At 40.7% G+C, this 14,893-nt stretch overlaps 1 protein-coding gene across 22 annotated transcripts in view; it reads left to right on the top strand.

Moving 5' to 3' along the window:
* GRIP1 (glutamate receptor interacting protein 1) overlaps positions 1-14,893 on the top strand; it is a 721,908-nt gene that overhangs the window by 614,534 nt on the left and 92,481 nt on the right. For all 22 annotated transcript variants that reach the window (XM_047428622.1, XM_005268757.5, NM_001379351.1 and 19 more), the window contains 2 exons: positions 9,297-9,483; positions 10,076-10,221. In XM_047428622.1, coding sequence (XP_047284578.1) covers positions 9,297-9,483; positions 10,076-10,221 — 333 coding nt within the window. The remainder of the gene's footprint in view (positions 1-9,296; positions 9,484-10,075; positions 10,222-14,893) is intronic.

Raw genomic sequence — 14,893 nt, 5'->3', positions numbered from 1 at the left:
CTTCTTACTGTCCACTCCAGCCTAAGGAAGATTGGAAGGATGCTCAGCTTTACAATAAGCATCCTAAAGTCTAGGAATTTCAACCATGATTCTTGTAAAAATGATCTGGACAGCCAAACACGATATAGACTAAGCAAAACTAGGAAGATATAGTTGGCTACTTGCTTTGGGATAGCTGGTTGTCTGAATAGAGGGGTAAAAAAGGTGATTGAATGCCTTAAAAAGAAAGAAATATAAATCACTCCTACATTTATCGTTTCTATTGGGGAAGATCATTCTCTCTTATCATGATCATATAACTTGTGGAAGAAGAGAACACTGACCTTTCTAACTAGACCTAATCATAGTCTAGAGAGTCTGTTTCTTGTCATGTATCCCTTTTGATGGCCATGATTATGATTTAAACAGAGAAATTTAAAGAAGATGGGATCTCTTCCTGTGCTCACCATGGGAATAAAAATAAGGAACATCCTTAAGTTACTTAAATAAAACCAAAGCCAGATACTTCACAGCTGTTATGGACTTACTGGCTTTTCAGCTTGTTTGCAAGAGATTCATCTCCCCAGGAGGATCTCTCTCCAGTCTCACCAGGGCCACCCTAAGTGCCCAAGACCAGCTATCACCCACACTGGGAGCTAGTTTCTTCATGATACAGGAAACTGAAGCTTTCCCTACAGTGAACTCCATTGCATAAGACAGGGTCACCACTGTGGTTTGTACATGATTTAGACTTGCACATACTTTTACATATAAGGAGATTTGTCATCTTTGGTATATGAAAATGATAGTAAAAATGAAATTAGGAAAGTGGAAGATTGAGTTTAGTCAAAATGAGAACAAAGTACTCCTGGAGTCCCATGTGTTTTTTAGCTGACACTAGAGTAAATTATTTACTCTTGGAAGAAACTAGTTGAATGCAATACAGTGAACTGGTTATAAGCCTAGACTCTGGAACCAGGCTACCTGGGTTCCATCCCAGCATCATTACCTTCTAGCTGTAGGACCCTGAGCAACTTCTGTAAACTCTCTATGCCTCAACTGAAAATAGGGAAAATCACTTCATTGGGTAATTGTGAAGACTGCATGAGGTATGCCTTGACTGAAAATAGGAAGAATTACTTCATTGGGTAATTGAGATTACATGAGATTGCATGTGTATATGTGTTTAGAACAACACCTGGTAAATAGTAAGCACAATTTAATTGTTAGCTATTTTGAATAGTTTGTGTTAACTGTCATCGGCCTAAATATGAATTGTCACATGAGAAAATCTCTTGACAGTGCTCTCAAAGTTCAATCTTTTTAACGAGGGGTACATTTTGGCATAATACGTAGATCTTTAGTCTTCTATGTAATGCCTTCAGGGTTTGTGGTGGGTATTTGTGTATGAATTTTTTTAACAGATAATGGCTTTGTGTGTAGTACTCCTCAGTGACAAAAACAGGCTAACAGCACTCAGCAGGGAAGAGCAATTAAAATGAATTCATTAGTGTTCATACTTCTGCTTCAAAGGCTAGTATTTGTTTGTGTTAGGTAAGACTTGCTGTGTTGATTAGGGACATTAGTGAATACAAACAAATGATGTTTGGCTATCTCAGGTTGATATTTTCATATCTTAAATTTTGTAGTAGGAAACAAAGCTGAGGCAGCGCTGTCACTGATATGCATAACCAACGCATAAATTCTCTCTTGAATCAGGACATTATTCTTCAACATGGTAGAAATACCTATTTCAATACATTTCTAGTTGTTTGTGTTTGCTGTAGACATTGGCCACTAGAGCACCACTCACAATAAACATACCAGAATGTTTATAAATGTGTCTCAGGAGATCACACATTTTGTATTTTATTCAAACCATAAATTCCAAAATGCTATGAACTTTTATTCACACTTCAAAAAGACCTGAAAAAATGATAGCATTGCAAAGGTTTTTTTGTTTTTTTTAAGTGAGGATTTTTTTCTTTTCTTTTATTGCATAGGTTTGGTATGGTCACATTAGATGTAAAGGTCTTCCCAAATAACTGATAATAAAAGTTTTATTGCCACTCTTAGTATACCATGGTTTATTTCCACTGCTTTATTTATGTCTTTATCCTGTGCCACCATTTGCTGCCCCCTTTGTAATACATATGTTTCTATAGCAACCAGGCCATTTGTGTAGATGGTGAATCATGGCAAAAAGTCTCTTTGCTGTATTGGTGATGACTTGAGGCCAGAGTTTGCAAAACAGAAAATGCTCATATGTATTTCCAATGCCAAGGAAGGAGATGCCCAGAAAAAAAATGAAATCTTCTCACATGAAAATTAAAACATTCTGTATCACTGATCAAAGAGGAAATACAAGAAGTCTGTATATAGTGATGTGTTACAAGTATTAAAACAGGAAGGTGTCATGTTTGTTTCATAGAGAAAATAATTAATACAGCACACATTAGGCTTTGACAAGTGTCACAAAGCCCTGGAGGCATTGCCAAGCCATGTCATAGAGGGAGCCCTCTCATCTCCTCTGCTGGAATCTTACTGCCCTTTCCCTGGCTGCCTGTGCTGCCTCTTTTTCTGCCAAAGAGGCCAAGTCTCCTTCCAGAACCTCATCATCTCCCTGTAACAACAGCATGGCTGAGCAACAGATCTAGCTAGTTTGCCCTGCTTTCTGTTCCCCACCACTGTACCCTGGGCCAGTGTAGAGACTCCGTCTCTTCCCAGTCTGCCTGAATTGCGGCAAAGAGTAGAAGTTAGAACACATTTCCAGAATGGTCTTTGCTGCTTTTGTCATCAGTAGTAACTACTATTAGAGAGAGTGCCATTGAAAAGAGCTGAAGGAAAGAAAATGAAAAAACCTAACAACTTTTCTGGTCCCTTCTATTGACCTGGGAACAAAGAATGGAAGATAAAGGCAGCTACTGGTAAGCTTTTATAAGTGACCATTCAGGGAGCCCTGAAGAAGACACCCTAAGAACTGTCCTCACACCCTCATTTGGACAAAGGAGCTGTTGGCCACCTCTACTGCGTTCCTGAACCAGATCACATGATACACATGTGTTAGGTCTATGGCAGGTTGACTATAGTGTGGGACACTTTAGTGAGACAGAAGTCTTAGATTACAGGATCAATAATAAAAACACATTATTCCTTGGGAGGCTGAGGCGGGTGGATCACTTGAGCCCAGGAGTTTGAGACCAGTTTGGGCAACATGGTGAAACCCTGTCTCTACAAAAAAGAGAAAAGAAAAAATCAACCAGGTGTGGTGGCACACACCTATAGTCCCAGCTACCTGGGGGGCTGAGGTGGAAGGATCGCTTGAGCCCAGAAGATGGAGGTTGCAGTGAGCCAAGATTCTGCCACTATGCTCCAGCCTGGGCAACAGAGTGAGAGCCTATCTGAAAAAAAAAAAAAAAAAAAAAAAAAAAAAAAAAAAAAACAGATTATAATAATAAATCTTTGGGGTCCTTAGTTCTCTATATTTTTTAAATGCTTCTCATAGCTGATAGGAAATCTTTCAGCCTTCTAAATTAAATAAGCATTTGGTAAATTTTTAAACTTTTGGAGGTGTTTTTGGCTCCCCCTGCCCTTTCTTACACTAGGAAGAACAAGAATTGACAAAAATGTAGTCATTCCCTACAAATCTGAAGAGTTGTGAACAGAACCCTCCATGTGAGAATGGGAACAGGACAGAGCAGGAACGAATCCTGAACACAACCTCGGCATACACCAGTTAGGATGTCAGCAATTTAGTCATTTCCATCTTCACCTTGAGGAGTAGGCAAGCCTCAGCCAAAGCCGGTAGCTTGCAGCAATGACGACTGAATACCTTGCGGAAGCATCTGCTACTAGAGAGACAATTCACCATCCACATTTTCAAATGACGGGGGAATATTCACCTTCATTTACTTTGCTGGTTGACCACATTAATGAAGCAGGATAATCAAGCTCATTTTTTTCTCCTCCAAGTTAATATTGATTGTTTTTTTCTTTTGATTCCTTATCTTTAAATCACAATATATCTTTTTCATATCTGGTAATAGTTTTCAAAACTTTTATATGTGTAACTAATCAATACATATAATTTCAAATGAAATTTTGCTCTTTGTCAAATAAAAGATTCCAATATGTCAGAAGACTTTCAGAGTTAATTATAAAATCATAAATTATTTACTACAATGCTATATGTATAATATAAATTATAACTAATTATAAAACCAATACATAATACATAAATTTATTTTAAATCCTAAATTCAATTTTCTAATAATTTTTATCATCTCAACTTGCCTCCAAATAGAGCTTATAAATTTAATAATATTCACATTAAATTAGTACTTATTTTCAAAACCTTCTAGAGAATAAAATTATTCAACTATCTTCTCTGTTTAAAAAAACATAGCAAGTCTTTCCTTTGAGAAGGCTTCACTATATCTAGTATAATCTCACCTGTTACTATTAAACTGACTTCTTTTTTCTTGGCTCTTTCTTTTTTTTTTTTTTTTTTTTTTTTTTTTTTGAGATGGAGTCTCACTCTGTCACCCAGGCTGGAGTGCAGTGGCGAGATCTCCGCTCACTGCAAGCTCCGCCTCCCGGGTTCACGCCATTCTGCTGCCTCAGCCTCCCGAGTAGCTGGGACTACAGGCGCCTGCCACCACGCCCGGCTAATTTTGTTTTTGTATTTTTAGTAGAGATGGGGTTTCACGCTGTTAGTCAGGATGGTCTCAATTTCCTGACCTCGTGATCCGCCCGACTCGGCCTCCCAAAGTGCTGGGATTACAGGCGTGAGCCACCGCGCCCGGCTCTTGGCTCTTTCTTAGTGAAGATGGTAAACAGCTGCCTTAAAGTTTCTGAAACAGCTTTTAACTCCAATTAAGTAGTCCGATAATCTGTATCAAATTGTGATCTCAAATGGAAAAAAAAATTAATATGAACCTATAAAAGAGTCAAAGAAAGTAAAGGATTACTGATTAAGTCCAAAAAGCTTCACCTAGAAGATAAGTGGAAGTTACCTGCCAAATAGGTGATGCTGTAACATGATACTCTCATCTTCTGTGAGTAATAACTGGAATGCAACATACTCTCCAGATCCTTATTGACAGGAAATGGTGTCTCCCAGTGGTTTGGTGCCACTGATAGCAAAAATTATTATCTGGAGAGTAATCACGGTACACTCTACATCAGCGAAACCACACTAGAACATGTGATCTAAATTAATACATGACAGTCTATGTGTCAGACCTGGCAATTGCAAGCTTCCACCTGTAAGAAGCGTAGGGTTGGAGGCTATCTTCACCCCCCACTGCAGGCTATGTTAACCTTAATCCAGCTGAGATGGAATGAGAATGGTGCTTCTTAAGGAAAAGTCGATTTTTTTTCTTACTCCTCCTAGACAAATGATCTACTTCACCCTCCCTTGCCCCATCAGCTGCAATTACCTGGGCCCTGAAGAATGACTTGTAGTTCCTTATGGTAACTCAGCAGCATCTATGAGAAGTGTTGTTTCCTAAAAGGAATATGTAGATGACATCCCAAAATTTGATTCATTCCTCATTTATTCAGCATTTGTTGAATCTTCCAGGCACTAAGATTTCAGAGATTGAAAGAGCTGGTTCCAACCTTTCAAAAACTCAGGGTCAGGTGGAGAGAAACAGGCATATAGAGACCTGATAAATGCTGAAACGGGACCATGTATTAGAAATGTGGAAATGCAGAAAAGCAAGTACCTAATTCTGCCTGGATAAAACAGAGAAAAGGACCCAGAGCAAGAGCTGAGTGGCAGAGGGCACAGTATATATGAAGACACAAAAGTGTGTCAAGAGGGTTGGGGCACATGGCACATGAAGGGATCACAGAGAAACAGGAGAGTGGATGGGCAGGAGAAAGGAACTGATGAAGGGTCCTATGTGCTCTGCTAGAATTGAAAAGTTTGTTCTATAGGAAACAGGAAGCTATTGAAAATTCAAAACAGGGCAGGGGTTACCCTTGCATGTTAGAAAGGCTACCCTAGCAGCAATTGGAGGCTGTTAGCATAAAACAAGAGGCAGGGTCACTAGTTAGAAGTCTATCCAGTATTGTACACTGGTGATGATGAGGCCTTGCTCTGTAGTAGTGGCAATAAGAAAGGGAAGAAAATTCACTCAGTTTTGAAAACATTGAGTTTGAGGAGCCAATGAGACAGTTTGTGGATGGGATATCCATTGAGTAGGGAAATCCATCACTGGAGTTTGACAGAAACTAAAGAGAAAGAGTTGAGAAGATACATGCAGAGTAAATAAGTTGGGGCCTCATCATATCCGGAAAGTTTGACAGGAGGTTCATCTGGAAATAATATGTGGGGAATATTTTGCATGTAAGGACCCAGAAATAAGTACATTAGAATAATTCAAATAAAAAATAATGAAAGCCCAAATTGAGGTACTGAAATTAATAAGGGAAAAGAGGATTTTTGTAAGATATATTTCACTAGTCATCCAGAAAGGATTTAGCAATGGATAGAATTTGAGACAATGGGGAGTTGTGAGTTAAGGCTACTTTGAGATTTTAAGCCCAGAGGGCAATAAAAATGATGGTCCTGTTCACAGAAATAGTAGTGGCAATGAGAGAGGGAAGAGGATTCGCTCAATTTTGAAAACATTGAGTTTGAGGAGCCAATGAGAGAGTGTGTGGATGGCATACCCATCAAGGAGGGAGATCCATTACTGGAGCTTGACAAAAACAAGAGAAAGAGTTGAGAAGATACATGCAGAAGACATGTAGGCATGAATGAGGGAAAGAATGAGAGTAGAAAAGACTTGGAGGATGGAACTGTGCGCTGAAATGCAGAGGGAGGCAAAGCAACTGGCTGGGGCTGAAAAAGTAAGACACTCGAAACAAACCTTCATCAAAACCAAGCAAACAATTTTAGAAAGCAAGGGATGGTCCTAAAGCCAGTCGCCAGCTAGAGCAGATGAGGCCACTGATTTTAGAAGTCAGGAAGTCATTGGTGAGAGCAGTTTCAGTAAATGGTGAAGGCAGAAGCCAAGTTTTTAGCCACTTCAGAATCAGTACACGTCTATAGACAGAAGTCAGAAAGCTGGGGGAGTGAGCAGAAAAGTTTGGAAAAGCAGCAAGAGGCAAATTTTTTCATGGCACAAAATCATGGGGGGTGGAAAGGGATAGTATTAAAAACACTAAAAGGGGGAATTAGCCTTGAAATGGAAGGAAGGATACAACCTCCTGTAGTGGGGGAAAAAAGGAAGAGGGAACAAATAATGATAAAGAGAAATTGAGGCTAAACAGAATGTTGTTTAAGGAACTCTCGTCAAAGGGTTGCATCTTTTCAGTCTTATAGGAAATGAGGAGTAACATTTGACCATGATTTAGGGTAGAAACATTTGAGACAAATCCTTTGTGGAATGAAATAAGGTGTCAAAATATCACACAACAAATAATTTAAGGACCTAATAGGATTGTGAATTCATAGTGACTTTTCCTAGCACCCTTCAGCAACTTAGTAACAACAGTGGAGTTGACCGGGCATTACCATAGAGGATAAAGTATTAGGGTATAGGAAAATCCCATGAGGTTTAGGAATCTTTGAGCCTAGGAGATGCATTATTAAAATGCTCACCAGGGGTCCAGGCAGAGTGTGGGGAAAATGATGCCAGCAAAGCCAGTGGGCGAAGACAATGGCTTTCCACCTGCACTTACCAGATCCCCACATGAGGCCAGGGAAAACCTCAGGGGTCTCCCATTCCCACATCAACTACAGTAGCTGTTTTTATCTGGAATACAAAGGCATCCCTTATATGTTTTCATTTTAAGGGGGAAAAATCTGTTGCTAAAATCAATAGACTCAGGAGACAAGTGAGAGGGAATGGGACTGAAAGTCATAAAGAGGAGACAGATTGCAGGAAGTGGGAGAGATGGCTAATAAAGGGTATGTGATCAACAAGGGGGATTCAGATATTGAGATCTTGAAGATCTATTCATTTTGAAGGAAGATGGAGACCACCATAGGGCTCTGCTGGCAGAGAGTGGAAGTAGGGTGGTATTGCTAGGAACTGACATGAAGAGAGTTGAAGAAGCATAAAGCCAGCTTGCTAGAAGGTTATCATCATAATGGCAAAGAGGCAGAGGACAAGGAAAAGCTATAGGTTAGAGGAGGCAGACTAAGAGGCAAGTCCTGAAGTCATGAAGAAAAGGGGGAGAATTTTGAAAAAGTAGATTATGGGCTTGAAAATGAGACAGAGCAGAAATAAGTACAGAATATGGAATTTTAAATAGGAGTAGTTGAATCAATGTACCGTATGTGGAGAGCAAGGAGTATTATGAACCTGTCTTCCTGCCACCTGTAGAGGGAGTAAAAGAAAATGGCTTTTGAAGAGGGTTATGAGGTATATGGTGTTATCAGGTTTTAGTTAAAGGGGGCCAGACTCTTTCTGGAGGAAGACTCAGTGCAGCATAGGACCTGCAGGCAGAGGCTGTGCTCACAGAGAGCACGGGTGGCCACACTCCAATGGGCAGGGCTGAGAGAAAGACATGGAGGAGTGGAGCAGCCCTTTCATGAGTTCAGAATGGAAATAAGATGGAGATGTCTGCTGGAAGGTGTAGATGAATATCAGAGAGATAAATGAAAGAGGAGAAATAATAGGAAATAAATGAAATACAACAACTTAGACTAGAAACCCAGTGGGAAAGAGCAAGGACTGAAGAGACCAAACTCTGGGGTGGTGGTGGGGGGCGGCAGGAGGAATGTACAGAGTTTAAACAATGTCATCATGCCAACCCAACACTAGATTAAGGTTGAGGACCAGCACAGCCTCACCACGCCAGGGGCCAGATTTAGTTTAATTATTTCTTCAAAGCTGAAGATAGGATTGTTTAAAAGTCACAAAGCCCAGATGCAAATGGCTAAAGTGGAAAAAACATGAAACCAGCTAGCTCAACTCCCTTTTTCTTAGATAGGATATAGACACACAAAGAGACAAAATGGCCTACCCCAAGGTTCCCCAGCTGGTGCTCAGTGATAGAGCCAGGACTAAAACCCATGTAACCTGACCCTAAGGCCATCCTCTTAAAGCCCCCACAATGATCCCTGGTTTGAGGAGTAGGGAGCCAGGGTGCAGGGATACACTGATGTTATTATAGAATTGTGATGAATATTGAGAGATTCATTTATCTTTTTCAACTCTTGCTAAACCAGAGGCCATAATTTAACCTCCCACCATTGCCATTCAGTTTTTATGCAGAGACATGATCTATTTTGGAAATGCTGGTATTCCTGGTGCTTGCTCCAACCTAAAGTCAGTATTTTCTGTTTGTTCCTCTAGTGTCCTTAGCCTCCAGCACAGTAGGATTGGCTGGGCAGGTTGTTCACACAGAAACCACAGAGGTTGTGCTGACGGCAGATCCTGTCACAGGATTTGGGATCCAACTGCAGGGCAGTGTGTTTGCCACAGAAACTCTCTCTTCTCCACCTCTGATTTCCTATATCGAAGCTGACAGCCCAGCAGAGAGGTGAGACACTTTCTTTCACAGCATCATTTTCTGCTCTGCGTTTCTGGTACCTGCTATCTTTGAATGGCTAGTAAATTATGAAACATTGCTCAATGCAGGAAATGCAAGATATGATGAACTGTCTTCTGACAATAAAATTTTATGTTCTTGATCAGGTTTGAAAAGAGTAATGAGCATGGATGCCTTTAACTAGCAGATTTTGTCCATCAAGGGACTAGAAGCTATATTAATTAAAAAGGAGAAAAATCCATAAAATAAACATATCCTGAAGTTCAACTTCAATAGTTTCTGCCATGGGGGAATATACATTCATCATTACTAAATATTGGTTTGGATCAGATTCTAACAATACCATGGTTATGAATTATTAATTACTTCTCTGGGATACTTCAGGATTCCCCTGCTCACAATTATAACCATGAACTGCAACAACACACGACGTTGAATTTGACCTATATGATGCCCACAGCATTGAATAAGCAAGACCAAATTATGATGCTATTTTGCAAGGATCAAGCAAGGTAGATTTGGCAAGCTCAGCTTGGTAATTATTTACTCCATCTACAACCTCTCACATGTGGTTCTAAATTAGATGTGGGGTGCTACAGATTGGAGACAGAGTGATGGCCATCAATGGAATTCCAACAGAAGACAGCACCTTCGAAGAAGCCAGTCAGCTCCTCCGAGACTCTTCAATCACGAGCAAGGTCACACTGGAAATCGAGTTTGATGTTGCAGGTATAATCATATCATCTCAGGAGTGGACTGCATGTGAGTTATATTGGTTATGTGGCAGAGAGGAAACTATTTTTTTTTTTTTTTTTTTTTTGAGACGGAGTCTCGCTCTGTCGCCCAGGCTGGACTGCGGACTGCAGTGGCGCAATCTCGGCTCACTGCAAGCTCCACTTCCCGGGTTCACGCCATTCTCCTGCCTCAGCCTCCCGAGTAGCTGGGACTACAGGCGCCCGCCACCGCGCCCGGCTAATTTTTTGTATTTTTAGTAGAGACGGGGTTTCACCTTGTTAGCCAGGATGGTCTCGATCTCCTGACCTCATGATCCACCCGCCTCGGCCTCCCAAAGTGCTGGGATTACAGGCGTGAGCCACCGCGCCCGGCCAAGAGGAAACTATTTTATATGCTGAACCTGCTTTTGTTTAGGAGGTTTGGGGTGTCGTTTTGAATTGAACATTGTTTTGGATTATTCCTTAAAATGTCACCACAAGAACAACTGAAAATAAATGTGACAAATTGTATAATAGCCACAACTATAGAGGCGATAAAAATAAATCATGTGGCCTTCATTCTTTCTTTCTTCTGTATACTAGAGAAACCATATTCTTCAGTCACAGAGACAAGTAAAGCCTCTCTTTGACCCTTCACACTGCAAAGAACACATGAAACTTCTTTTGAGAGCAATGAAAATTCCCTAAGTGTATTTAAACAAGCCCAGTTGGCAAATATTTAGTTTTTAATATTAAAGAGAAATGACAGCAGATACTTGTTAAAAATGACAAGGAAGACTTTTGTTGGAAACTACTGCAGTAGGGGGTCAAGAATATTGCAGTAGGCCAGGCATGGTACCTCATGCCTTTAATCCCAGCATTTTGGGAGGCTGAGGTAGGTGGATCACCTGAGATCAGGAGTTCGAGACTAGCCTGGCCAACTTGATGAAATCCTGTCTCTACTAAAAATACAAAAAATTAGCCAGGCATGGTGGCGGGCACCTATAGTCCCAGCTACTTGGGAGGTTGAGGCCAGAGAATCGCCTGAACCCGGGAGGCGGAGGTTGCAGTGAGCTGAGATCACACCACTGCACTCCAGCCTGGGCAATCTGGGCAACAAGAGCAAAACTCCACCTCAAAAAAAAAAAAGAAAGAGAAAAGAAAAAAAAAATATTGCGGTAGGGGAGGGAGATTGAACACAACTCCAAATATAGCCAGAGCAGTTGGGAATTTATAGCCAGAGGACAAAGTGAAGAGGAGGGAGTCATTGAATGGAAAATTACTAAAAGGAACTCGATTAAATATCAAAGGTGGGGGGCAAAGGGGATTCTCCCTAAACTGACTCAGCAGGATTCTTGCTAAAATTGGGCTCCCAGCCCAAAAACAAGGCATAATCAAGAAGAGGGCTCCAGGGAGCCAAACTAAAGTTTGGTTACAGGCAGAGTCCTGATCAGTAGCTAACAGGTGTGTGGATTTTAGAGATTGGTGCTAGTTCCCATTTAAGAAAATTGTCTTCACACAATGAAAGACTACCTCACAGACCCAATAACCCTTACCAATTAGTAAAGATATGCTTGTGGACTCAGGGATCACATTATTCCAACAAATATTTACTATTTACCATGGGCCAGTTATGCCCCTACACAATGTAGATGTAATAGTAGACAAGAAAGTAAAAAAAGCTTATATTTTTTAAAAAGCTTATATTGTATGAAGCTTGTATTGTAGCAGCATATAGAAAGTTAATTTAAAAATTAACAAATATTGCCCAGTGTGGTGGCTTACACCTATAACCCCAGCACTTTGGAGGCCAAGGCGGGAGGATCACTTGAGCCCAGAAGTTCAAAACCAGCCTGGGAAACAGGGAGACCTCATCTCTTAAAAAAAAAATTTTTTTTAAATTAGCCTGGCATGGTGGTGCATGCCTGTAGTCCCAGCTACTCAAGAGGCTAAGCTGAAAGGATCACTTGAGCCCTGGAAGTCAAGGCTGCAGTGAGCAGTGATTGTACCACTGAACCCCAGCCTGGGTGACAGAGTGAGACCCTGTCTCAAAAAAATTAATTCATTAAAATTAACAAATATAAATTTAGAGAATAAGTGCTCTGAGGAAAATACAGCAGCATAGAGGGTTAGAGAATGACTTTAGGGGAGCTAGTTTTGTAGGCTGATGCTCTAAGGAGTGACATTTGGGCAGGGATATGAAAGCTGAGACGGGTAAGCCTTGTAAGGCTCTCGGAAGAGGCGTGCTAGGGAAAGGGAGTAGGCAATGTAAAGACCCTAAGCCAGAACAATTAGCTTGCTGGAGAAACAACAAAAAGGGCTGTTCCTGGAACAATATAAGGGAGTTGGGTTTGGATTTGGTTTGGATTTGGTGATGGAGTTAGAGGGGTTAGAGAGACCGACTAATGCAGTGTCTGGTAAGGAATTTAGATCACATTCCAAGTGTAATGAAGCCATGGAGCATTTTATGCAGAGGAGCTAATCTGAGGAATGTTTTAGAAAGAGCCTTCTGACATGGGAGGGGAAAATAGCAGAAGCAGAAAAACCAGTTAGGAGATTGTGGCAGTTGGACACGTAAGGCATGATAGTGGCTTGACACAGTGGTAGTGCTGGAATTGGAGACAGATAGTGGAATTTAGGACATGGCTCGAAGCAGAGCTAATAGCACTTGTTTATGGGTTGGATATGGAAGATGAGGGAGAAGGAAGAGCATGAATGGCTCCTGAGGTGTGAGGGTGAGCAGTCAGGTAGACAGTGATGTCTTTAGCTGAGAAGACTGGAAGAGGGGAAATTTGGAGATAGGAAAAATAATTCTATTTTAGAGATGAGTTGGCAAATCCACTGCTAATACTAGAGAAAAAAGATAAGCATGTCTCTTCCTTAATTCAAATGACAGTTATTGAGCACCTGTTACTAGGTGCTAAGCACTGTACTATTTTCAGATCATTGAAAGAGAAAATAGAAAGGATCCATATCCTCAAAGAGCTCAAAGCTAAATAGGAGAGAAAGAGCTGCTGAATGGTAAGAATAGACTTGCCAAATTTGTGTTGCCACTGGAATGCAGAAAGAAGGGCCCAGGAGAGAGTAGTGCAGGCATTACCCTGGAGCCTAGGATTCAGGGTCTGGGCTGGATAGCAAGACCGAGGAATAACCAACATGGCAGTGATGGTTAAAGTCACAGGAAAAAAGGAGACCCCTAAGGAAAGAGTGGCAGTAAGAAAGGGACCAAGGAGGGGACTCTGCCTGAGGAATACTGAGACTTAAAGGGAAAAAAGTGTGAGCAAAGGCGATGAAGGTGTACCTTGAGAAACGGAAGGAGAACCAAAAGAAGGTGGCATTTTGGAAGCCAAAGAAAGAATTTCAAGACAAAAGTCACTATTGATAGCTTAAATATACTATGGAGAATTCAAGTAACATAAGGTAGGAAATGTCCCTTGGATTTGGCCATTAAGAAGAAAGACATTGCCATAGTATGAATTGATCTGAAAAGTAGGGGCGGAAGTCAGATTGCAGTGAGCTGAGGAATGAGTGGAGAGTGACAAATACAGAGATGCTCTGCTTGCTGTCTGCTTTAGGAACTGGATTTTGGAAGAGAGTTTGGCCGGAAAAATGCACTGAATGGATGAAAGAGACTGGACACCATTGTGGGCTCCTCTTTTGAGAACTTCTGCATTTACTTATGTGCTTGTTGCTCTATTTTATATTGTATTATATCCTTTATTCAGTAGTTCTCAACTGGGGTCAATTTTGCCCCAGGGGACATTTGGTGAGGTCAAGAAATTTAGCTGTAGAGAAAGAAGAAGAGACAACAGATAGTGAGAGACTCAAAGTTCAGAGGGGTGTTATTTTGTTTTGCGGCTTTGTTTTGTTAAGATTGGAGAGATTGAGCATGTTTGGGGCCTGACATGAATGAGGGAGAGAAGAGATAATAATGGAATCAGATCCACAAAGGAATGAGAAAGAGAAGTCCAGGACAGAAGGTAGAAGACCTCTTATGAATTTGTAGAAAAGGTTGTGAGACACAGAAAGACAAACATCACATGTTCTCACTTAACTGTGGGAGCTAAAAATTAAAACAATTGAACTCCTGGAGACAGAGAGTAGAAAGATGGTTACCAGAGGCTTGGAAGAGTAGTGATGATAGTGGGGAGTGGGGATGGTTAATGGGTCCAAAAAAAATTTGGAAAGAATGAATAAGACCTGGTGTTTGCTAGCACAACAGGGTGACTGAAGTAAAAAATAATTTAATCATACATTTAAAAATAGCCAGAAGAGTATAATTGGATTGTTTGAAACCCAAAGTGTGGGTACTGGAGAGGATGGACACCCCATTTGCCCTGATGTGGTTATTGTGCATTGCATACTTGTATCAAAGTATCCCATGTAACCCATAAATATACATGCCTACTGTGTACCCACAAAAATTAAAATAATTTTAAAAAAGAAAAGAAAAGGATGTGAGAATATAAATACATTTTTAGCTGGCTTTTAGATGGTTCATGTAAGAACTGTCAAGCAAGGGTGAAAAGATCAGCAGCTTCGAGGGTTGAAAAGAATGAAGATTTAGAATAGCAAATCAGAGGAATGCATGAGGAAACCAACCAGAAGCTGTAAAAGGATATTCAAGCAGTGTCTGGAAGCTTCAAGTTTAGAGCAGCATCAGCCTACACAGTGGAGTAAGTTGTTGT

This window comes from Homo sapiens, chromosome 12 (assembly GCF_000001405.40).
Source record: "Homo sapiens chromosome 12, GRCh38.p14 Primary Assembly".
Classification (NCBI taxonomy): Eukaryota; Metazoa; Chordata; class Mammalia; order Primates; family Hominidae; genus Homo; species Homo sapiens.
This window is presented reverse-complemented; position numbering and strand designations above follow the sequence as displayed.